Source organism: Homo sapiens, chromosome 5 (genome assembly GCF_000001405.40).
Source record: "Homo sapiens chromosome 5, GRCh38.p14 Primary Assembly".
NCBI lineage: Eukaryota > Metazoa > Chordata > Mammalia > Primates > Hominidae > Homo > Homo sapiens.
In genome coordinates, this window is record NC_000005.10 from 95,806,539 (window position 1) to 95,829,235 (window position 22,697).

A 22,697-nucleotide genomic window follows, 5' to 3' on the forward strand; every position below is an offset into this window, starting at 1 on the left:
CTGATTGAGCTCATCTGCTGCATGACTCCACATGACTGATGCCCTCTTCATCCCTCTAAGCTGGAGGTGCCTCTCAGGGATGCTGTTTTCCATCCATCCTCTGTTACCCTTTCCTATATCTCAGCAAAGGGAAAGAGGTAAATATTTTAAATGCTTTTGGGGTTTAATGAGGCTAAGAGTATCTGTTTTTAAAGTTTATCAGATAAAAGGCATAGACTCTAAAAATGAGCACAAGTCCTGCAGGCCAGCATCGTATAGCCCAGCGTTTCCAAACTCATGGAGCCCATTTTTTCATGTAACATTTGCTGATGTGCCATGGACCCAGTGTTCTGAGACAGCTACTCTGGAGACTCTGAGCTGGAGTAGCTGGGATTACAGGCATGCGCCACCATGCCGGCTAATTTTTGTACTTTTAGTAGAGATGGGTTTTCGCCATGTTAGCCAGGCTGGTCTTGAATTCCTGACCTCAGGCAACCTCAAGCGATCCACCTGCCTTGGCCTCCCAAAGTGCTGTATATAGCCTCTTTAAGTGCCTGGGAAACGCTGCTAAGGATTCCTTATACACTGACCTCGGCAGGAGTAGACCATTATTTGGTATTATCCTCACATGGCAGTGATTTGCTAGATTCTCTGTAAGTAGGAAACTTCAGAACTACCAGTGTCAGCCACCTCTTTGGTTCAGGGCAGTAATTTTCAACATTTCCAAGCTTGTAGACCCCTTTTTTTTTTGCCATAGTAAAAGATGGGGCCGACCACAGCCTCTCCACATATTCTGGTGTGTTTTTGCCATCAACTGAAAAAGCAGAATTGGTCAAAAGCTACTATGAATGCTGGAATACTGTTTTTAAAAAAGTAAATTAAATATTTTGAATAGATAATTATATGTACATGGCAGTTATCCTTGAACTGAGTTTATATTTTATTCCTTGCTGCTGCCGCCACACAGAAAATAAACCAGGAAAAACTTCTAACTGGGTAAATCAGCTGTTCACCTTTATCGAAATATTGGAAAAGGGCCAGGCATGGTGGCTCATGCCTGTAATTCCAACACTTGGGAAGGCTGAGACAGGCAGATCACTTGAGGTCTGGAGTTCGGGACCAGCCTGACCAATATGGTGAAACCCTGTCTCTATTAAAAATACAAAAAATTACTTGGGTGCCATGGCACACACCGGTAGTCCCAGCTGCTTGGGAGGCTGAGGCAGGAGAATTGCTTGAACCAGAGAGGCGGAGGTTGCAGTAAGCTGAGATGGTGCCATTGCACTCGAGCCTGGATGGCAGAGCAAGACTCCATCTCAAAAAAAAAAGGAAAAAATAGATGCAGTTGAAGCTTTGTAGACTCGTACCTCTTTATGCATACACAATGGAAAACAGGATATGTGTATTCTCTGATCCTTTCAATAGGCCTGAGGACCGCTCCTCACCAGAGTTCTACAGTACACAGCGGCTCAATCAGAGGAGAAAAAGTCCTTGTACTAAAGCTCATGCTCCTTAGTGGGGATCACTTATCCCTCACTTACCAAATTCCTGTAAAGGAGGAGAGATTTTTCTTCTCCTTCCAGCTCAAGGAGTGTTGAAGGGGCGCTTTGCATCCTTTGCTCCTTTTCTCACTTGGAGGAGGAGGATTCCTCTGGTTAGATTAAGGACAGTCTATCTGCCACTGGGCCACACCTTCACACAGGGGTGGGGAAACGGACTCAAAAATAACCTAAGGTGTGGCCGCCCCTCCCTTGTGCTGCCAGCTAAAGGCTTCCTGGATGGAGAGGAGAACTAGGGCTCCTTGGTTTTCCTGTGGTTTACCTGTCTGGAGATGCCCACACTGTTCCCTTTCTGGGGGCAGCTGTCCCTGCCACCCCCTGAACTTTTTAATCACACAGTGACTGATTTGATGAGGCTAAAGGAGATCTTCTATGCAGGGGGCTGGATGAAGGCACCCAGAGTCAGCTCTACACAAGGGTCGCATTCTAGATGTCGGGGGACAGCCCCCGTGGCCACAGGTTCCAGCCGTGCTCTTTAATTCTGTCTTCCCAGGAGTTGCTGGTCCTCCATTCCCAGAGTGGGTCCTTTGGTCCCCATTTAACACATCTGGCTAGAACCCTGGGCAGACTGTGTTAAAGATCATCCACACTCAGTTCTCAAGGATGACTTAATAATGGGAGGAAGCGCAAAATCTCCACCCCATAAACAGCTTGTAATTTTACATATGAAATGTTTTAAGTTTCACAAGGCACACAAGAGAATAGGAAGGAGGCATCTCTTCTTGCTTCTGAGAAAGCTCAGCTGCAGGTCCCCAGAGGCTTGAGCCCCGCCAACTAGGAGGGAGGAGTTGAGTGCGCTGGAAGAGTCCGTAAAAAACCCCAGAGCCCCAGCTTGCACGATGTTCTGTGCCGTCATTGGCTCTCCTAGTTCCCCTCTCTCTCCTACCTTCAGCTCTGCACAGCTCACCAGAAAAGTCGCCTGGAGACAGGAAGTATAAACTTGTGCATAAATATAGACCCATTTTTAAATATCCCTTGTGCTTAAAGGGACCAGGCCAGAATTCTCTTCCCCTAATGAGCAGGATTAAATTCTTCCCCTTCAAACATTCGGTGTATTTGGTAAGAAGACCCCTATTAATATAAGAAAGGAACTCTAAGTAAAATATCTCAGGATCCCAGTTCTTTACAATATTTCCCACGACCTGTGAACAATTATTATGGTGTAGTAAATTAGGGAGCATGGCTTTCTCTGGCAACCAAATGTCAAGATAACGACCTAATAATACTCACTGGGGATATAAATAGTGTGGTCTGGGCCACATAGATCCATTTACCACCAGTTTAGGAATTTACCATCAGTTTAAGAATTTACCAGTTCTTTCTCCTTAAGGGGCATCTTTGGACAGCCTTGAATTGGAAGAAATGGCTGTCTGGAGTCTAGCCCAAAGGGCCAGGTTGGAGGAAGCAGAGAAGGTGGTTATTAAAATCAACAACATTCGCAGGAGATTGGATCACTTGCTTTCTTCAGTAAACAGAAAGAGTAGAGCTTTGGCTGTGAATTTTTTGGTGGTTAATTTTTGCTGTTTTTTTCTGCCAGCCCCTATTGCCAATCTCTCTCCATGTTCTTTGAAAGATCATTCTTTCTATCCTTGCAGATCACACGGAATTACTCAGCAAGGAGCAGGGCAGAAAACAGGAGGTTACATGAGAGTCTACACACTGGCCAGGAAGCTGCCAAGTCCCTTTTCCCTGCTTGGCAGCCAGAACCCTGAGGATGAGGCCCAACCCCCAGCTGTGAAGCTGGAGAGACTGAATGGCTCAAAAGAAAAGGTGTCCAGGAACCAATAATTGGGGGATCTCCCAGTGAGGCAACCAGATCTGTACCTGTTCATTTATTCTTTAATTTGTTCACTCAAGAAAGAGCCTACTATCTGCCAAGCAGTCTTGATGCTGCAGATACAGCGGTAAATAGACACCAATCCCTGACCTCAAGGCACTTATATTCTAATAGTGAAGAGACAGTAAACTAAATAAATCATACCATATATTAAAAGATAGACTGGGTGTGGTGGCTCACGCCTCTAATCTCAGCACTTTGGGAGGCCAAAGCAGGTGGATCACTTGAGCTCAGGAGTGTTGATCAGCCTGGGCAACAAGATGAAACCCTGTCTCTACCAAAAATACAAAAAATTAGGTGAGCCTCCATGGAGGTGTGCATCTGTGGTCCCAGCTACTCAGGAGGCTGAGGTGGGAGAATCGCTTGAACGTGGGAGGATTGCTTGAGCCCAGGAGGCAGAGGTTGCAGTGAGCTGAGATTGTGCCACTGCACTCCAGCCTGGATGACAGAGTAAGACCCCATCTCAAAAAAAAGATAAATGCTATAGAAAAAAATAAATAAATTGAAAAAGAGGGATAGGGAATGCTAAGTGAAAGTGAAAGGGAGAGTGTTAGATAGGGGGATGGGGGATCCCTTGCTGAGAAGGTGACATTTGAACAAAGACGCTCTCGATGGTGAAGCTATCCGTTGGCAAGCCTAATCTATGCACACAAGTCTTCCAGTCAGTTTTTTTAGTGCCTCATTCTTTAAATATTTACAGATAGTCAGATCTCCAGACATTTGAGGAAGGCTTTCAAATGTAAAACAGAGAAAGAAAATTGGGGCTCAGAGGAAAAACAATAAAAAAGAGAAAGCTGCAGTTTGCTAACTTTCTTTCTATAGCCATTCTCCCCTTCTTTTGATATAGATCTCCTCGAGTTTTAGTGAGTTTTAGTTAGGTAAGAGGCTTCCCAGGCAGGGGCCCCTCTGCCTAGCCTACCCCGCAGCTGGTGGGGCTATGGCATTAAGTTCTGGCTAATGGGATGTGAGCAGAAGTGGTACATAGGACCCCTGGGTCAGTCATGAACCCTTGGAGCAAATGCCACCTGCCTGCCTCTGGAATTTTTTTGATAAAGAAGCTTCTATCAGGCATTATATCTTTGTTATAGCAGCCTAGCATGTTGTGGGGGAAAGAAAGATAGACTGTTACTGTGTCTATGTAGAAAAAGGAAGACATAAGAAACTCCATTTTGATCTGTACTAAGAAAAATTCTTCTGCCTTGAGATGCTGTTAATCTGTAACCCTAACCCCAACCGTGTGCTCGCAGAAACATGTGCTGTGGTGACTCAAGGTTTAATGGATTTAGGGCTGTGCAGGATGTGCTTTGTTAAAAATGTGTTTGCAGACAGTATGCTTGGTAAAAGTCATCACCATTCTCCAGTCTCCAGTACCCAGGGACATAGTGCACTGCGGAAGGCCGCAGGGACCTCTGCCCAAGAAAGCCTGGGTATTGTCCAAGGTTTCCCCCACTGAGACAGCCTGAGATATGGCCTCGTGGGAAGGGAAAGACCTGACTGTCCCCCAGCCCGACACCTGTAAAGGGTCTGTGCTGAGGAGGATTAGTGAAAGAGGAAGGCCTCTTTGCAGTTGAGATAAGAGGAAGGCATCTGTCTCCTGCTCATCCCTGGGAATGGAATGTCTTGGTGTAAAACCCGATCGTACATTCTATTTACTGAGATAGGAGAAAACCGCCTTATGGCTGGAGGTGAGACATGCTGGCGGCGATACTGCTCTTTACTGCACTGAGATGTTTGCGTAAAGTCAAACGTAAATCTGGCCTACATGCACATCGAGGCACAGCATGTTTCCTTAAACTTATTTATGACACAGAGTCCTTTGCTCACATGTTTTCCTGCTGACCCTCTCCCCACCACTACCCTATAGTCCTGCCACATCTCCCTCGTAGAGATGGTAGAGATAGTGATCAATAAATACTGAGGGAACTCAGAGACCAGCGCCAGCTTGGGTCCTCCGTATGCTGAGCGCCAGTCCCCTGGGCCCACTTTTCTTCCTCTATACTTTGTCTCTGTGTCTTATTTCTTTTCTCAGTCTCTCATCCCACCTGACGAGAAATACCCACAGGTGTAGAGGGGCTGGCCCCCTTCACATGTATTCTAACTCATACATGTGGGCTACAGGAAAGAGGAGACCCAACATAGGAGAGAAAAAGGGAATCCCCAGAATGACAGTGAAGGGAGATCCCAGATAGAGAACTCTGCCTGCCTCAGGACAGAGGGCAGCAGTCCAGATTGGAGCAGTGTAATTTTCCATGTTGAGGGTTCTCTGTAGTTGTATAGTTTTTAACTTGAGGACAGAAAGCTGAAATGGGCCTGAAGCAGATCCTTATCTGTACTTGGCTTGCCTGGTGCCGATGACATTTCCGTTCTCCCTGCTACACAGCTGGCCAGCTGAGGAGGTGTGGGTGTGCTTTGATCTCCTCCTGAAAGCTGGGGGCAGGGACATGCTGAGCTTAGAAGCAGAAAATGCAGAGCAGCCCTCTGCCGTTACCATATTTCTGGGGGACACCCCGTTCTTGGCTCACACAATAGCCTCCCTGATCGTGGGGTGCCGTGTTTCCAAGGACTCACTCAGCACCACTTCTGCTTCCCCAGAAGAGGCTCTGGAAAACTTCCAAGGGATGCCGAAGCCAGTCTATAACTCAGAGTCAATGTTCAGTTTACCTGTTCTTGGGATTGTTCGTCTAATTGTGATATCACCTTTTTCTTACACAGCTAGGTCGGTGTTATTGTTTTTCAAAAGTAAAATGTATTGCTTAGAGATATTATAAGGAGTAAAACTATAAAGTATCAGAATGATTACAAGAAAAATGAAGTAGTGGTTACCTCTATGGAGGGATGGAGAGAGGGAATACCCTTGGGGAGGGGCACACGGCCCTGTAAGGTACTTTACCAGGACCTGGGTTTGAGGCGGATAGAGCAGGAAAGACTTTTAGTACTATTTGGCTTTTTAAACCGTATGCATATATTGCTTTGATAAAACAGCTCTTCTATGCTGGGAACTGGGTTTCCATAGTTAAGTCTAGGTTCTTGCCTTTGGGTACTTTTTTTTGGAGACAGAGTCTCGCTCTGCTACCCAGGCTGGAGTGCAGTGGCACGATCTCAGCTCACTGCAACCTCCACCTCCCAGGTTCTAGTAATTCTTCTGCCTCAGCTTCCCGAGTAGCTGGGACTACAGGCACGTGCCACCACACCCGGCTAATTTTTCTACTTTTGGTAGAAATGGGGTTTCACCATATTGGCCAGGCTGGTCTCGAACTCCTGACCTCATGATCCACCCGCCTGAGCCTCCCAAAGTGCTGGGATTACAGGTGTGACCTGCCGCGCCCAGTCACCTTTGGGTACTTCTGAATTTGGCAGGAGACCAATACAGATGATTAACTACAACATAGCCTGATAAGAGCTGTAGAGTATCTACATGCACAGTGTTTTTGAATTCCAGAAGAGGGAACGATGATTTTTCAGTCAAAAGGCCATGAGAGGAGAGAGAAAATATAGGGGAAATGATCTGTAAATCAGGCCTTGAACGAGGAGGAGTTTCAAAGTAAAACAAAGAAGAAAAGGCATCTCAGGAGAAAGAAACACAATGAACATGGACAAAGAAGTGTGAAAGTGCAGGCAAGTGGTCCAGAGTGGATCAGATACTATAACCTCCGGTGGGAGGGCTTTCATATTGTGCAGTGTGTAAACTGAACAATTATCCATAGCAATCCTGGTGTAAACTGAACAATTATCATAGCAATCCTGGTTGAAGGGAGTGGTTAGGGCCCACAAAAGAAAGAAGCGAGAAGTACAAGGGCCTTAAGTGGGAAATGGCAAAAAGGAATATGAAATGAAAAAGACTGTTATTAAACCCTAAGCATTATTCAGTAAGCCAGGGCTGGCATTTATTTCAATATGAAATTTCAAAATTATATCAGCCATTTGTACTCAGTGAGTGACAGCAGCACGTGTCTTTATTTATAATGGCAGGGCCAAATATAAACACAGTTTTAAGTTAGTGTATTTCGCATAACATTCCTTAATGTCTTGAGAACATGCAAATGAATTGGACAAAAATCACTGAATCATCTATAGGTTTTTTTTATTAGAAAAGAAATTAAGTGTTGTCACTAGAGATTGAAGGAAATTAACAATCTTACAATTCTAGAACAGGCAAACTTCATGATAAGGGATTCTTAAGTTTTCAAAGTGTAGGAGCTCTTTCACAGATACACTCTTGGTGTAGGGGGCTGTAAGTTTTATCAGATGTTTTACATTTCATGCTTTAATCTTTGCTGGTAGTCTAAATAAAATAAATACACAGTGTTCAGGATTATCTGGATAGCCATCTTAAATAACAGAGTGTTCCGCATGACCACAGCCTCTGCACTTGTGCCTCTGATCCATATGACACCAAGACCAACTATGCTTTTCATATGATTTCTCCAATTGGGTCCTGTGACCTTTCACAGAATTGTTGAACATTTCCTATGAGATCTGTGGAGGACAAGGTGGAGAACACTGGTTCAGAGCAGTGATTTTCAAGGTGGGATGGGATGGGGTGGAGTTGAGTGGAGAGATGCATGTAGTTAGAAAGAACACATTCAAAATACCCACTGATTTCATAATACAAACTCCATAAAGTCAAGCAGCAAAATGATTTTAGCTAATGGGCAGTAGCAGATAACCAACTGTGGATTCATCATTGTGGAGAAGGAGTCTGGATAAACATAGTTGAAAAACACTGGCTTAGAGGTAGAGACATGCCGACACATGGAGAACAGTAAGAAACGCATGCCAAAGAGGACAATTGAGGGTCAGTGAGCGAATCCTGGGCCAGAACTTGTCACAGTCTTCTGAAAACCAAAGAGCACATCCAGAAGAAAACCAAGATGGCCCGTCAACCTTCTTGGCCCTGTGATTAAGAGCAAGTTGGTCCACTTTTAAATACTGAGCCAAAAGAGGAAAAAAGCTGTTTGTGCCCCCAAATTCATCCACCAGAAGTGCTGTCATCATTTGCAATGCCATCCAGCTCTTGAGGAGGGACGTCAGCATGGGGCCTGTTCTGCCAGGAAAGAAAGAAGGGATCTCCTTGTAAGGCAAAATCCTTCCTTTCTCTCATTACCAGAACACTTACACCTGCCATTTAAACACACTCTGTTGCAGATGGCCTTGAGATGCAGCTGCCAGTAAAATACTGACAGCATAGAACACTGAAGGAAAAGGCCAAATGCAAATAAGGAGACTTTCTGAATATGGGGGACTCTAATGCCCACACCAAAATAGAAGCAGTTGGAGAAATAACATTTCCCATCTTCTCTCATTCTTAATCTAAGCCTAAATTGCTAAACATGTCCCAGAATAGGAAACCATTAATTGGGTTTGAGTGCTTTTAGTACCAGTGGTAAGGCCAGGAAGTGAACTCAGACAGACATAGGGTGCACCTGCTGTGATGATATCGTAGAATTCTGATTAGAAGATTTATAGCATTGACTATTTCATTTCAGAGAAATCAGTGGTATTTTTTCAGACCTTTTTCCCCCTTCTGTTGCTATGCTGAGTAACCATCACAAATAATGTATACTCATTGCCCAAGAAATGAGTTATTAATTAGCAGGCAATAGATACCCCTCCAAGAACATTTTGGTTAAAGAACCATTCATTTCTCCCTCAACTAAAGCAGCATTTACATCTCTCTGGGTACAGGTCTCTGAATTGGCCTGCTTGGGAGCTAGCTAGCGCTAGCTGTGCTGGGGAACTGGGGGAGGGAGGAGCTCAGACTCCAAAACCATCACGGTTCCCTTCTGAAATGTTCATCGCCCTGTGGTTTTCCACAGAGCCAAAGATCTCCTTTAGGTTACTGATTTTAGAAAACTTTGTTTTGGCTTTTGGGAAGCCAATTAAATAGAGTTGATTTGCCAAGTGAACACAGGTAAAGCCAAAATGACCTGTGTTTCACATTGCGTTTTGAATAAATCCAAATTGTTTACCATGGCCTGGGTGCTCTGGCCCCTGCCCACCTTTCTCGCTATTCTTCCTTTTCACTGCACTTCATTCACTCTATTCCTGCTTTCTTTCTGTTCCACGAACATCCCTTACCTGTTGCCACCTCAGAGCCTTTGCACTTGCTATTCCCTCTGCCTGAAAAGCTCTTCTGCTTCATCTCTGCATAGCAGTCCCCTTGTTAACCAGGTCTCAGCTCAACCCTTCCTGAGAAAGGCCCTCCCTTACCATGTTAGCTCAATTTTCTCCCCACCCCATGACATATTCTGTCACATTATTCTATTCTATTTCAGGATTTGCTTGTTTTTGATCTGTCTACCTCTCTAAAATATAAGTTCCAGGTTATCATTTTATGCATCATTATATTCTCATGTGTCTGGCACATGCTTAATAAATATTTCTTAAATGAAGCTTGAGTGAAAGGATTTCTCTCATTGACACGATCTCTTTGTAAAGTGTGAAATTCATAAGTGATTGACATCACCATTCCTCAACTCACCCCAAATCATTTCTTCCCCCAACCAGAATGCTGTCATACAGTATAACAAACCACGACAGAAGAATTCCACGGTCTCCCATGTTCCTGGCCCAGCACCTCACCTGCCACTCACCTGTGGTTACTGCAGAGCTCCAATCTGCTTTAGCCGCGTCAGCAGTTCCCCACTCTGTTGCAAAGAGACTAGATCACTGCATCCGCCTATACAATCTTTACCAATAAAGACTCGAGGCACCTAAAAAAGCACACGACCCAGGACATTACTACATTACTAGATTAGACAGAACATTTCTATCCTACCACTAAATATTTCCCGTGATTCCAAACTTTTCAAATCACTTTAAAACCTCCTTATGTATATGCTCACAGGACAGGACTTCCTTTCTGTTATAAGGGGTAACATTATTAACTCGAGAATGTTTTTACGCCAGAAGAGTTTTCAAGTTGTGTGCTATGCATGAGCTTGTCCAACTTGTCAAAGGGATTTAAAAATTTCACTCTACAGAAACATGTTTCAGAAGGAGAATTCTGATTGGCTGCAGTCAGACCACCTAGATTGAACTCTGCTTTCTCTGCATCAGGGACCACACCTAAGATTGTAAACTGGGTCACAGCAATCAGGAAGGAAGGAGTTCGTTTCTAAATACAGCTGGAAAAGTATTTGCATTACGTCTCTGATTTTTCAGGTCCATGGTTTATTAAGTACAATCATCTCTCTGTGTTGTTAAAACACAGGTGAGGGCCAGGCACAGTGGCTCATGAATGTAATCCTACTACTTTTGTGAGGCTGAGGTGGGAGGGTCGCTTGAGCCCAGGAGTTCAAGACTAGCCTAGGTAACATCGTGAGACCCCGTCTCTACAAAAAATACAAAAATTAGCCAGGCATGGCGGTGCATGCCTGTAGTCCCAGCTACTCAGGAGGCTGAAGTGGAAGGATTGCTTTGGCCCGGGAGGTCGAGGCTGCAGTAAGCTGTGATGGTGCCATTGCACTCACACCTGGACGACAGAGCAAAACAAAGAAAGCAAAACAAAGCAACACAAGTGAGCTCTGTCCTCAACCAGGGGGGTGTAGTGGTGTTTGAGTCTCCTTTAATCGCTGGTCCATCATAAGATGGTTAACTCACCCCGGATGAGGGTGCGTCACCCACGCCAAGCCACAGTCATGACACCTGCTGAATAGGCTCCTCTCTAGTTACACACTTCCTCCCTGCTGCTAGGAGCAGACACATTCCAGAATTCCAGAGGGCTTTTAGAATCGCGAGGGAGGAGGAAATACCCTCAACGTGGCTGAATTTATAGGCCAGGAGTGTTCCACCAAGGCTGCCTGGCAGTGAAGAAAAAAGCCCCATGGAGGTCACCGCGTCATCAGAGCCAGCGGGCCTCTCCCCGAGTACCAGGAACGCACTGGAGGGGAGGGAGAGGTGGAGGCAGAAAGCAATGAGACTATTTTTCAAAGCTTTGGGCTTTCCTCAGAAAGCATAATAATTGGAGCAAATTGTCCAAAAAGTGAGAAAGGTGAGAAAAGGGGCTTCATTATTGTGGATAAGTTCTTACAGCACTTTTATTAAAAAGGGGGTCTGGGTGAAGGTAGGCATTAAAAATAAAGTCTAAAAATTAAAAACAAATCTTGCACATTTCCATGGCTATTCCCTGTGCTCTCACAGGATAACTGAGGCTTTGAAAACCCACAGCCCTGGAGCTGCCCCCCAGCCTCCTGAGATGACCCTGAAATGTGACCAGGCTGCTCCCAGCGTGGAGTTTTGTGCTCAGTGTCTGGCAAAGAAGCGAAAGGCTCCTTTACCCTCACACCCATCCTCTAGTCTGGACAACTGCAAAACTGCCATAAATCGTATCAGTGAATGGTACCCCTAACGGGAGCTGAATGGCAGGCTGTACAGACGGCACGGGGGTGCTGTGGCAGTGAAACCAAAGCAAGAAGTACTGTTGATAAAGTTGAGCAAAGAAGAGGAAATACCCTGTGCTGCTTCCCCTCCTGTCCCTTCCCGTCCCAGCCTCCTCTTTAGAGGAACTTGAGAGTCCGCTACTGTCAAGGAGAGGAAAGAACTGCCACCCCAAAACGAGTTTGGTAATCCTGTGGTTCTTATTCTCCTGCACTAGGTTTCCCCAGCCTCAGCCAGGCAACATCTCCTGTACGCTAGCTAGGGTTACACAAATGCAACTACTCAAAAGCAATTTCTCAACACTCCTCGGCTACCTCCCTGGTATAAGCCACCTTCATCTGTCACCTGAATAACTACTATAGCCTCCCAATGTCTCCCAGCTTCAACCTTCACCTTTGCCCTACTGTCTCTTCTCCCCACAGCTGCCAGAGTGGCCCTTTCAAAATGGGGTCAGATCAAGTGACTCGTCTGCTCAGCACCCACCAGGGGCATCTCATCTCACACCGAGTACCAGTCACAGTTCTTCCAAGCTCCTATTAGCTCTCAGACCTCACCTCCACTAACTCTCCTACTGGCTCACAGTGCTGCAACTATACTGGCTTCCTTACTATTCCACAAACCTGCCAGGCAAACGTCTACCCCAGGACCTTTGCATTCACTCTACCTGTAAATTGTGTACACCCATCTCCCTCAGCTCCTATAGATATCTGCTCGAATGTTCCCTTCTCAGTGAGACCCAATGGCTCCATTTAAAACTGGACCCTGATGCTTCCTCCCTACCTTTCCTACTTTTCCTCATAGCACGTGCCACTTACCAACTCCCAACATACTGTTTTATTACTGTATTTGTTTGTCTCCCCCACTAGAATATAGGTTCAACAAAGGCAGAAGGGTTTTTTTCATGGCAGAAAAGGCAGAATTTTTTCCCCAATGTACATAAAAGTGTCTGGTACATAGTAGGTGCTTAAAAATATTTGTTGCATCCAGTAAAATCATCATTCAAATGCGAAGGAGAAATACTTTCTAAGGTAAACAAAACTTGAGGGAATGTGTTACCAATGGAATCACCTTGCAAGAAATGCCCAAAGAAGTTCTTCAGAGAGAAGGGAAATGATATAGTTCAGAAACTCAGATCTATGTAAAGAAAAGTGCATTAGAGGAGAAATAAATGAAGGCACTAATTTAGGAGCTGTGACTATAGCAAAACAAAAACAGGTTTTACCAAGTACATGGCTTGATTGAAGCCACTAACTTTCCATAATCATGTCCTGCTGATTACCTACTAGATACAGCTACTTTATAGAATAATTAAGACTGCAGGATCAGGCCGGGCGCCGTGGCTCACGCCTGTAATCCCAGCACTTTGGGAGGCTGAGGCGGGTGGATCACGAGGTCAGGAGATTGAGACCATCCTGGCTAACACAGTGAAAACCCGTCTCTACTAAACATACAAAAAATTAGCCAGGCATGGTGGCAGACGCCTGTAGTCCCAGCTACTCGAGAGGCTGAGACAGGAGAATAGCGTGAACCCGGGAGGTGGAGCTTGCAGTGAGCTGAGATTGCGCCATTGCACTCCAGCCTGGGCACAGAGGGAGACTCCGTCTCAAAAAAAAAAAAAAAAAAAAAAAAACCCTCGGGAGCTTTCAGACCCTTTGAATACAAACACTTCCCTGTTGGGGATCAAACATGCAGCTTTAAAAGGCTTGTTCTTCCCCTAGGAGGAATGCACTCAGAATTCAAGAATCTGTGAAAAACATTTTTCTAAAAATGAAAAACAGGCTTGTTGAGGTGGATCACATCTGTAATCCCAGCACTCTGGGAAGCTGAGGTGGGAGGATAGCTTGAGGCCAGGAGTTCAAGACCAGCCTGGGTAACATAACAAGACCCCCATCTGTACAAAAACTTAAAAAATTAGCTGGGTATGATGGCTCATGCCTGTAGTCCCAGCCACGGGAGGCTGAGGTGGGAGGGTCACTTAAGCCCAGGAGTTCGAGGCTGCAGTCAGCTATCATTGCACCACTGCACTCTAGCCTGGGTGACAGAGCAAGACTCTGTCTCTTAAAAAAAAAAAAAAAAAAAAAAACCTTAAAAGATTACTACAAGAAATATTGTTGTTCTACAAAGAAATGAAAAAGCAATTGTTGACCAGGTGTGGTAGCTCACACCTGCACTTTGGGAGGCTGAGGTGGGTGGATCACCTGAGGTCAGGAGTTCGAGACCAGGTTGGCCAGCATGGTGAAACCCCATCTCTAATAAAAATACAAAAATTAGCTAGGTGTGGTGGCAGGTGCCCGTAATTCCAGCTACTTGATTGCTTGAACCTGGGCGGTGGAGGTTGCAGTAAGCCAAAATCACACCACTGCACTCCAGCCTGGGCGACAAGAGCGAAATTCCATCTCAAAAAAAAAAAAAAAGCAATTGTTAAATGAACACATGAAGAGGTTTGCTTTACCTCCTGGAAAATAGATGCTGTTGGGCTGAGAACAATAATCCCAATTGTGTTGCACATTGGAATCCCCAAGGGATTTTTCCAAATAAAAATCCCAGGTGTGGTGGCTCACCCGTTTAATCCCAGCACTTTGGGAGGCCGAGGTAGGTGGATCGCCTGAGGTCAGGAGTTCGACACCAGCCTGGCCAACATGGTGAAACCCCGTCTCTACTAAAAATACAAAAATTAGCTGGGCATGGTGGTGGGCGCCTGTAATCCCAGCTACTTGGGAGGTTGAGGAGAACCCAGGAGGCAGAGGTTGCAGTGAGCCAAGATTGCACCATTGCACTCCAGCCTGGGTGACAAGAATGAAACTGTCTCAAAACAAACGAACAAACAAAACTAATGCTTGGCTCCCACCTCTGACATTGTGATTTAGTTATTGAGGGGCATAATTTGGGCATAAGGATTGTTTTAAAAGCTCTCTAGGTGATCCTAATGTGCAGCAAAGTTTGGGAACCAATGGCTAAAAGGTCCTCAGGGTGGCAGCCACAGTGGGGCCCGTAGTAGTGTTTGCACTGCCCTTTACACCTCTCAGGGCCTGGGCATCCTATGCAGCTGGTGGTCCCACTAGGCAGCAAGAGCTTCTCTCGTCATTGTGTATACTCCAGGACCTCAGCACACAGCAGTAGGATAACACACTAAGCCCCCTTTCTGCACCAAAATGCTGACTTCTTATTAGAGAGAAGGGGAGAGAAACAACCTCCAATGCTTTATACTCAGAACCCAGAGACAACCTTGTAAGTCAAACTAAAACTGAAATAGGATATGTGCTTGGCCTAACACTGTGCTGTAGAATTCGTGCATCGTAAAAGAGAACTTAGCTGAGCTGGTGGGACATTTCTCATCCCACCTCACAGCAGAACTGATACAGGTGATGTGGCTGGCATCCCTCCTGAAGCCCAGGACGCAAAGCCAAGGATGCTGAAGAGAGGGAAGTCTTTCGGATGGAGGAGAGCAATTTTTAGAGGGTCCCACAGTCTATTCGTAGCAAATGGGACTCTGAGGTCACCTAATCTGGTCTTGCAGCTGGGATCTTTGAGGACTACTGGGGTGGTGACTTGCCCAGGATCACACAGCCAGCCATTATAAGAGCCAGGCCAGAACTCCAGGCTATGATTCCCTACAATGTGGGGCCTGGAAACATCCATAATTAATTTAGAACAAGGGGCAGATAACGGTACATTAGATTTTTCCAGTGGGAGGAATTAGATAAGGAAGAATGAGCAAATTAGAAAAAGAAAGCCTAGAGAAAAGAATGAAGAACATGAATCTCATGTTAAATAACAAACACATCACACCCGGCCCTCCACCCCAGCTTCCACCTCCAGCCCTGCCAACTGAAAACTGTCATTTCCTGGCAGTGCTTAAAACAAAGACTCTAGATAATTCCCCAGGGACTCACCGGCAAGCTGCTGGTCCCACTTACCCTGCCGCACAGCAGACATCAGCTGTACTCCCTCTTCTGCCCCGTGAAGACCTTTGGCTGCAGTGCCGCCGCTCATTCAAGTGACCGAGATCCTCTCTAAGGCGCCCTCCCCCACACCCCCCGCCCCGCACAGCCCTCTGGACGCCTTGAAGTACGGAGCCGCAGCCTTATCCTAAAGAAAGGCACAGCTCTGACAAGAAAAGGCAATCCGGGAGCCTTTCCCTAGCCGTTTAAAATGAAACTCACCGTTCTTGCTCCCGTGAGCTGTTGCAAATAATCTTGAATCTCGTTAGTGTGGTTGGTGGCTGTGATATCGACAAATTCCAGAAGCCCTTGTTTGATGGGCAATTGACTGAGGATCTCTTGGGCCCTCCTGCAGTACGGGCAGGTGGGCTTGATGAACACAACCACCTTCCCAGGCTGGATTTTGCAGTTCACAAACTCTTGAGCCATGCCGATGGGCTGCGGTCTCCCCGGGAAGAATCCTCAGTTGCAGGTATTGCTTGGGGTATTGAGCCCCGACCCAGCCAGTTGGCTCCTATTTAATAAGGAACCTCCCTGGAGGCGGAGTTTGCCTGGTAGCTTGCTCGAGTTTTAAAGGGACAGCTTCGAAGACATTTCCATCTGGTATACTTCACTAGTTAGCAATGCCCAGGAATGCAATACTTGCTATTTAATCATTGGTAGCTATGAAAGACACTCTGGGTATCTTTGTTGTCCTTGGACATTTGGGGAGTGCCTGCCCATTGGCAATGATCAGAGTTTAGTCACCTCTGGGGAAGCATAAAGTGCTTACTCACAAAGGGGCTGAGGAGGCAGTGACTTCTTAGAGCAAATTCTTGTTTTCCCTCTAGGAGATACAGTTGTATTTTAAAATGCAAACAGAATCACTTAAGAAACAGAACACTTGGAAATCTCTTTAGAAGAAGTGAAATTGAAACTGTGACTTTGCACTCCTCATGAAGGTTGCTCTCACAGCATTTTGCTTGGACTGTATGGTGGGTGTTTGTTGTTGTGATCTTTTTAATGGAATTCATTCTCAGTATTTAAAAATCTGGAGGTCTCACAAAACAATTCGGACTTAAAACTTCTCTCTGAAAAGTCAGGTCGGGCAATACAGAGCTTGCACCTTTTAGTGGAAGCTGCTGGGGCTGACAGCTGTTGCCCCCTTTGTATAGGGCAAGTAGTGGCTTTGGTTTGCCACAGGTCCCAACGACAGGCCCATGCCTGAGACACCGGCTTCACCCCATAACCATTTGAGTTGGTAACCCTTGAACAGCAGTTTAATATGGAGGCAAATTCCAACACAATCCTTGATACAAAACTACAGATGAAATGAGAATCTTTTTTTCTGGTTGAGCCTATGTTTGTGACCCTCTGCTTTTAACTGTTTGTGAGGGGAAGTAGTGTTGTAACTCAGACACCACATTCACTTCAAGTGTTATAAGACACGGGTTGTAACAGTAGGAAATCTTTCGCTCTTCCCCAGGGTGCCCATTCTCCTTATCCCGCAAAGCAAAGTCCTCTACTCCTGGGTCTAGTTCCGGCCCCCTCTAGTGTATGGTAGCTTAAATAAACAAATCAAGGAAAAACTATGTCCTTTAAACGTGAATCATCCTTTCCCCAGGAAGTTTTATGGTGAAACCAGAGTATCTTCAAAGAGGCGGGGCCAAGGCCAGAGCTGGACACCACGACTGCCACGTAAGAGGAATCCCAAGCATACTGCGATCAAGGGAAGGGAAGAAAATCCACTCCCAGAAGCAGCTTTTTACTGTGACTCTCATCGTTACTAGAATTAAAATGGCAAAATGAGAAAGCCAGATTCTGAGTCACGGAGGGGGAGCTAAGTGACAGCTCTGTCCAGAGAAAAGGATGTGGCAGGGCTGGGAGGCCCCTCACGTGGTCAGGGCTCCGGACTTCCCACTTCCCACTTCCCTCCAAAGTAGGCTCTGCCACAGAGTCTGAGCCTCCTCTCTTTTTTCATTCTTTTACCTCAGAACCCTGTGGCCAGGCTCCTTCCAGAGGCCCCTGCCAGGAGGTCCAGGGTCTGTTTCAGGGCCCTCAGGCTGTTGCCTTAAGTTCCCTCAGCCTGAGGTTTATCCACACGACTTGCACCTGCTACTCACTCAGAGCCTTTCTCTTCTCCGGTCTGTTGTTGGCTCCTCCCTTCCTGGTGCCTCAGCCTGCCACTGTGTTCAAGTTAAAAGCCACCACCACCACCACCACTCCCCATTTCCTGCTTTCCTGCCTCTGCCCTTTCATGAAATTTACTGTCTGTACCTTTCTCACCTCCATTCTCTCATTTTGTTGTTATCTGACCTTGTCAACCATTCTGCTGAATTGTTGGCAGACACTAATCATGGCCTCTATGTCACCAAATGACCATTTAGCTAGGTATCCTGACCTTTTGCAAATTAGTCACCTGCCCCAAGAGGCTGGGATCCAGGGAGACTATTGTCTGCCTCTCACTCAGTCCCGGGGACTGCCTGGTGTCTGAAGCCTTAGGACAGATGGCCATAAGGCACAAGCTAAAGGCAATTTTTTTGTGAGGCACCATGTGGAAAATGGGAGACAAAGAGATGGCAAAGAACGGGTGTCCTCTCCATTTCTCAGAAAATGCTGTGGCTTCAACTCAGTGAAAAATGACAAGCATAGAAGCCTCTGCTGCATTGTACAGCAGGAGCTGAAACCCAGCATGGACCTTAGGGCATCTCAATGGAAAGCCGCCATGGGGACTGCAGATGCGTCAAGTGCTGTGGATGGAAAGAGGGTGTGCGTGTGGACTAACACGTGTGGACTCTCCTTTGGCTTGTGTGAGACACTCCCAGGCACTCTCAGAAAATACACCTTGGAGGGTGGGAAGTGAGGGCATTTTTTAGGGGAGAATCAGTCCTGCTTTACAGATGGTTGGCAACAAGCTAGTGAAATATGTGTGGTTACTCTTTTTTTTTTTTTTTTTTTTTTTGAGACGGAGTCTCACTCTGTTGCCCAGGCTGGAGTGCAGTGGCACGATCTCTGCTCACTGCAAGCTCCGCCTCCCGGGTTCACACCATTCTCCTGCCTCAGCCTCCTGAGTAGCTGAGACTACAGGCACCCGCCACCATACCCGGCTAATTTTTTGTATTTTTAGTAGAGACGGGGTTTCACCGTGTTAGCCAGGATGGTCTCGATCTCCTGACCTCGTGATCTGCCCACCTCAGCCTCCCAAAGTGCTGGGATTATAGGCGTGAGCCACCGTGCCCGGCCAATGTGACTTCATTTGTACTCACAGGCTGATGAGGGCTGCAAAAAATGTGGCCACAAACGAACATTCTTCAGGGTTTTTCCTTACCCACTGTGCAGGGTTTGACCTTGTAGATCACTGCAGGCCTCTGGAAGTTCTCTTCCCACTGCCCATTGCAGCATGATCTTTTTGCTCTTTCTATTGGATATTGTCTCAGTGTCTTTGTTAAGAATTTTGCCTACACATATGGTCTATCTTGGGGCTTGATCTTCTCATTGTGTACACACCCACTCCTTGAGAGGTCGTAGCTCCACACATGACTCCAGCTGTCAGCTTTTTACTGATGAGCATCACGTTTTTCCTTATCTGGACCTCTCTCCTAAGCTTCAGGGAAGGCTATCTCATTGCCTACTGAAAAGACCCACCTGGGGATTCCTTAGGCCTCTCAGCCTCTAGGCAGCCAAAACTGAATCTCCCCTGAAGCCACCCTCTTTCCTCCATACCTGCTCATTGAGCCTGCATGCACCTTCATGTACCTTTTCGGCCAGGGCGGAAACCTGGCAGGCATCTGTGCTGGCCTCTGCTTTCACTTATGCATAGTGGCCAAACCCTACCAAGTTTGCCTCCTGAGTGCCTCCCTGGTCTGAACACCTGACTGCTCCTGCTGCTCTAGCCCTCATTAGTTCTTCACTCCCTCTTGTAGCACCTCCACCCTCGCCTCACTGCCTACTCCACACTGCTGCTGGGGCAATCTTTAAAAATACAGAACCTATCTTGTTCCCTCTTAAAACTAGTCCATGGGCTGGGCGTGGTGGCTCATGCCTGTAATCCCAGCACTTTGGGAGGCTGAGGCGAGCAGATCATGAGGTCAGGAGTTTGAGACCAGCCTGGCCAATATGGTGAAACCCCATCTCTACTAAAAATTTAAAAATTAGCTGGGCGTGGTGGCGTGTGCCTGTAGTCCCAGCTCTTTGGGAGGCTGAAACAGGAGACTCTCTTGAACCCGGGAGGCAGAGGTTGCAGTGAATGGAGATTGTGCCACTGCACTCCAGCCTGGGTGACAGAGCAAGACTCCAACTCAAAAAACAAACAAACAAACAAACAAACAAAAAACTAGTCCATGTTTCCCCAGGACAAAATCCAGATTTCCCTGTGGGGATGTGGCCCTGTGTGATGGGTCCTCCCTACCTTGTTCATCGTATCCCAGCCTCCCCACCAACATTTTAGAGACAGGAGGCAGCCAAGGGTCCCTGGTGAAACCCTGCCTCCAAGTCTAAAACAACCTGAAGGCTGAAAAACTGGACTGCTGTCCTAGTACTTTGGGAGGCCAAGGCAGGTGGATCACCTGAGGTCAGCAGTTCAAGACCAGCCTGGCCAACATGGTGAAACCCTATCTCTACTAAAAATACAAAAAAAATTAGCTGGGCATGGTGACAGGCGCCTGTAATCCCAGCTACTTGGGAGGCTGAGGCAGGAGAATCACTTGAACCCAGGAGGCGAAGGTTGCAGTGAGCCAAGATCGTGCCATTGCACTCCAGCCTGGGCAACAAGGGCAAAATTCTGTCTCAAAAAATACCAGAAACAAAGACAAAAATTGGACTGCTGGTCCTGGATGAGGCCCACCTTTTCCTGACTGATTCTTTCTGAATAATGCCCACCTGTGCACTGGGAAGGCGGAATGGAACTTTGGGAAGTTTGCACCGTTTGCAGCGAGGAGGAGCCTGGCCTCTCCTGTTCCTGTGTGCTGACCTGGAACTCAATCTGTGAGCCGGGAAACCTGCTATCAGGACTCTCTCTTGCTTTGCTGAGAATTATTTTTCCTTTTTCCTTTTCATCCAATAAATTCCATTTTCCTCACCCTTCTGTGTGTCCGCAAGCCTAATCTTTCCTGGTCGTGTGACAAGAGCCCAGTTTTACCGGAACTAAGGGGAAAGTTCTGCAACAATTTCTCCTTTGCTCCAACTGTGTGGACTCTGAGCCATTTCGTCATTGCTGCCACTCACACTTTGGACCTGCTGCTCCCTGTGCCCAGGGTGCCCTTCCTCTTATTTCTGTGTGGCTGACTCCTGCTGGCCCAAAGGGACTCAGATCAGGATGGTGTGTTAGCACCTCTAGGAAGTACCCCAAAACACACACCTCTTTCCCCCATGGGATGGGTGCCTCTCCATGGAGCTCACATGTCATACTGCGCCCTGACTCATCACATGTCATTGTTCCTTTGTATTAATTTTCTGTCATCTACAGTGAGTTCCTTGAGGGCAGGGAAAGGGCTTTTTATCTCTGCATTACCAGAGCCCAACAGATACACACTGGTTCTTATCCATCCACCCATTCATCCAACAAACATTTATTAATCAACTACTCTCAGCCAAACACAAACATCCATCATACAGCCCCAGGTCTTAGGAGTTTATAGTTTAGTGGGCAATATAAACAAGGAAAATGGACACAAGTGTTAGAAAGTGTTCTAGTTAACAGAAGTGTGTATGGGCATTAGGTTAACCAAAGGGAGTAGTCACTCCCACCTGGAGGGTGACTGGGGAAAGGGCCCACATCAAAGGAGAGCTAGGCTGAATCTTGAGGGATAAGAAGAAGCTTCTGAGTGTACAAGGAAGGGAGGGGCATTGCAGGCAGAAGGAGTAGGAAAAGGAAGAACAACATAAACGGTGCTCGACATTGAACATGGATAGAGCATTAGGGGTTTGCGTGGGGAGAGGAGAGACAACTGGAGAGCAGGCAGAGAATAGGGGAACTTTACCACACTGCAGAGGGAGGAGTTCACACACAGGCACCAAGGAGCTGGAACAGGCATACTTTATATATGGATAGATTTGTAGTCAAACGTTTGATGTATTAATGATGGTGTCACATCTCCCAAGTCACACAATGAGTACCTAAATGCAGTTTGATCACAGAAGGGCTCTAATGAGTGACAGGAATGCTTTGGAGCTGGCAAAACTTTCAGGGTCCCTCTGTGTTCACCCTGGGACCAGTCCTGGCTTCCACAAGGCTTGAAGTGGTACGAAGGGGCGGCTCAGGGGGTGGTGGGCTGCCATTGCTCCAGCTGCCCTCAAGGCTGCTACACTAAGCATGGCTGCCCATGTGGCCCCTTAGGCATGCTGCTGTGGGGGCTCAGGTGAGAGAGCCTTGGTACCAGCTGCCTTTTTCAACCTCAGACAATGAAGGTTCTGGTTTGGGGCCGTGCCTTGTTTTCAGAGTCTAATTCTTTAGGAAGCTCTCTCTGGCCCTCTCCAGATTTGACTGCGGGGGGCACTGACTCTGGCTCTAACTGCAGTCTCTCTGGACAGATGTTTCCTTGCCTTCTACCTCTATGCAGGGCTGTGTGATACTGAACTCAGTAACACTGACAGCTACCATTTACTATGTACCTACTGTGTGCTGGGCTCAGTGCTAAGAGCTTTATATGCATGATCTCTAATCATCACAGCAACTTTGAAAAGTTGATATTTTGGATCCCAAACTGACTAGAAGAATAAGGAAAATCTTCCTAACTTGAGGGACTTGAAGTTCAGCCAAGGTCAGGAGTACGGGCTGCCTCCCTACAGGCTGCCTCCCTACAGGCTCTGCCATACATTTGGAAAGTCTCTCTTGTTGCCCCGTGTCTGCAAACAACCATTCCAGAGGCAATGGGAAAGCGTTAATCTAAAGTTTTCCCACACCAAACCTCCCCTTGTGTTATTGGTTAAATTGCATCACAGGCTCATTCCTAACCCAGAGACTAGCAAAAGGAATGGAGTGACCACCACTTTTAGAGAAAATGAGGCCCATTGCTAGATTAGAAA

The 22,697-nt window shown here is 46.6% G+C and overlaps 1 protein-coding gene across 4 annotated transcripts, besides 6 other annotated features; it reads right to left on the bottom strand.

Moving 5' to 3' along the window:
• Positions 1,849-1,898: an enhancer, noted in NCBI's record as "active region_22803". NCBI's record gives its function as "activates an Ori minimal core promoter by ATAC-STARR-seq in GM12878 lymphoblastoid cells {active_cell/tissue: GM12878}" and the evidence as "EXISTENCE:reporter gene assay evidence [ECO:0000049][PMID:35858748]".
• Positions 2,149-2,238: an enhancer, noted in NCBI's record as "active region_22804". NCBI's record gives its function as "activates an Ori minimal core promoter by ATAC-STARR-seq in GM12878 lymphoblastoid cells {active_cell/tissue: GM12878}" and the evidence as "EXISTENCE:reporter gene assay evidence [ECO:0000049][PMID:35858748]".
• Positions 2,659-2,738: an enhancer, noted in NCBI's record as "active region_22805". NCBI's record gives its function as "activates an Ori minimal core promoter by ATAC-STARR-seq in GM12878 lymphoblastoid cells {active_cell/tissue: GM12878}" and the evidence as "EXISTENCE:reporter gene assay evidence [ECO:0000049][PMID:35858748]".
• Positions 7,311-16,188, bottom strand: GLRX (glutaredoxin). Of its 4 annotated transcripts, none has more exons than NM_001118890.2 (3): positions 15,918-16,188; positions 9,969-10,088; positions 7,311-7,851 (listed from the first exon to the last, which is right to left on the bottom strand). In NM_001118890.2, exons 1-2 carry the CDS (start codon positions 16,122-16,124, stop codon positions 9,975-9,977), a joined length of 321 nt encoding a protein of 106 aa, NP_001112362.1. In that variant the 5' UTR covers positions 16,125-16,188; the 3' UTR covers positions 7,311-7,851; positions 9,969-9,974. The 4 variants fall into 4 exon arrangements, with proteins under 4 accessions (NP_001112362.1, NP_001230587.1, NP_002055.1 ...); NM_001243658.2 differs by having other exon boundaries at positions 7,311-8,269; NM_002064.3 differs by having other exon boundaries at positions 7,311-8,419.
• Positions 14,560-14,699: an enhancer, noted in NCBI's record as "active region_22806". NCBI's record gives its function as "activates an Ori minimal core promoter by ATAC-STARR-seq in GM12878 lymphoblastoid cells {active_cell/tissue: GM12878}" and the evidence as "EXISTENCE:reporter gene assay evidence [ECO:0000049][PMID:35858748]".
• Positions 16,616-16,705: an enhancer, noted in NCBI's record as "active region_22807". NCBI's record gives its function as "activates an Ori minimal core promoter by ATAC-STARR-seq in GM12878 lymphoblastoid cells {active_cell/tissue: GM12878}" and the evidence as "EXISTENCE:reporter gene assay evidence [ECO:0000049][PMID:35858748]".
• Positions 16,936-17,436: an enhancer, noted in NCBI's record as "H3K4me1 hESC enhancer chr5:95159178-95159678 (GRCh37/hg19 assembly coordinates)". NCBI's record gives its function as "activates a minimal SCP1, AML or CMV promoter by ChIP-STARR-seq in primed H9 embryonic stem cells {active_cell/tissue: H9 hESC(primed)}" and the evidence as "EXISTENCE:reporter gene assay evidence [ECO:0000049][PMID:30033119]".

What these genes read in the sequence shown, in the direction of transcription:
- GLRX (NM_001118890.2), bottom strand. Translation starts at nt 16,124, where the DNA reads ATGGCTCAAGAGTTTGTGAACTGCAAAATCCAGCCTGGGAAGGTGGTT. An exon ending in AGCTCACGGGAGCAAGAACG is followed by an intron (nt 10,089 to 15,917) that starts GTGAGTTTCATT and finishes GTGCTTTTTTAG; the next exon opens with GTGCCTCGAGTCTTTATTGG.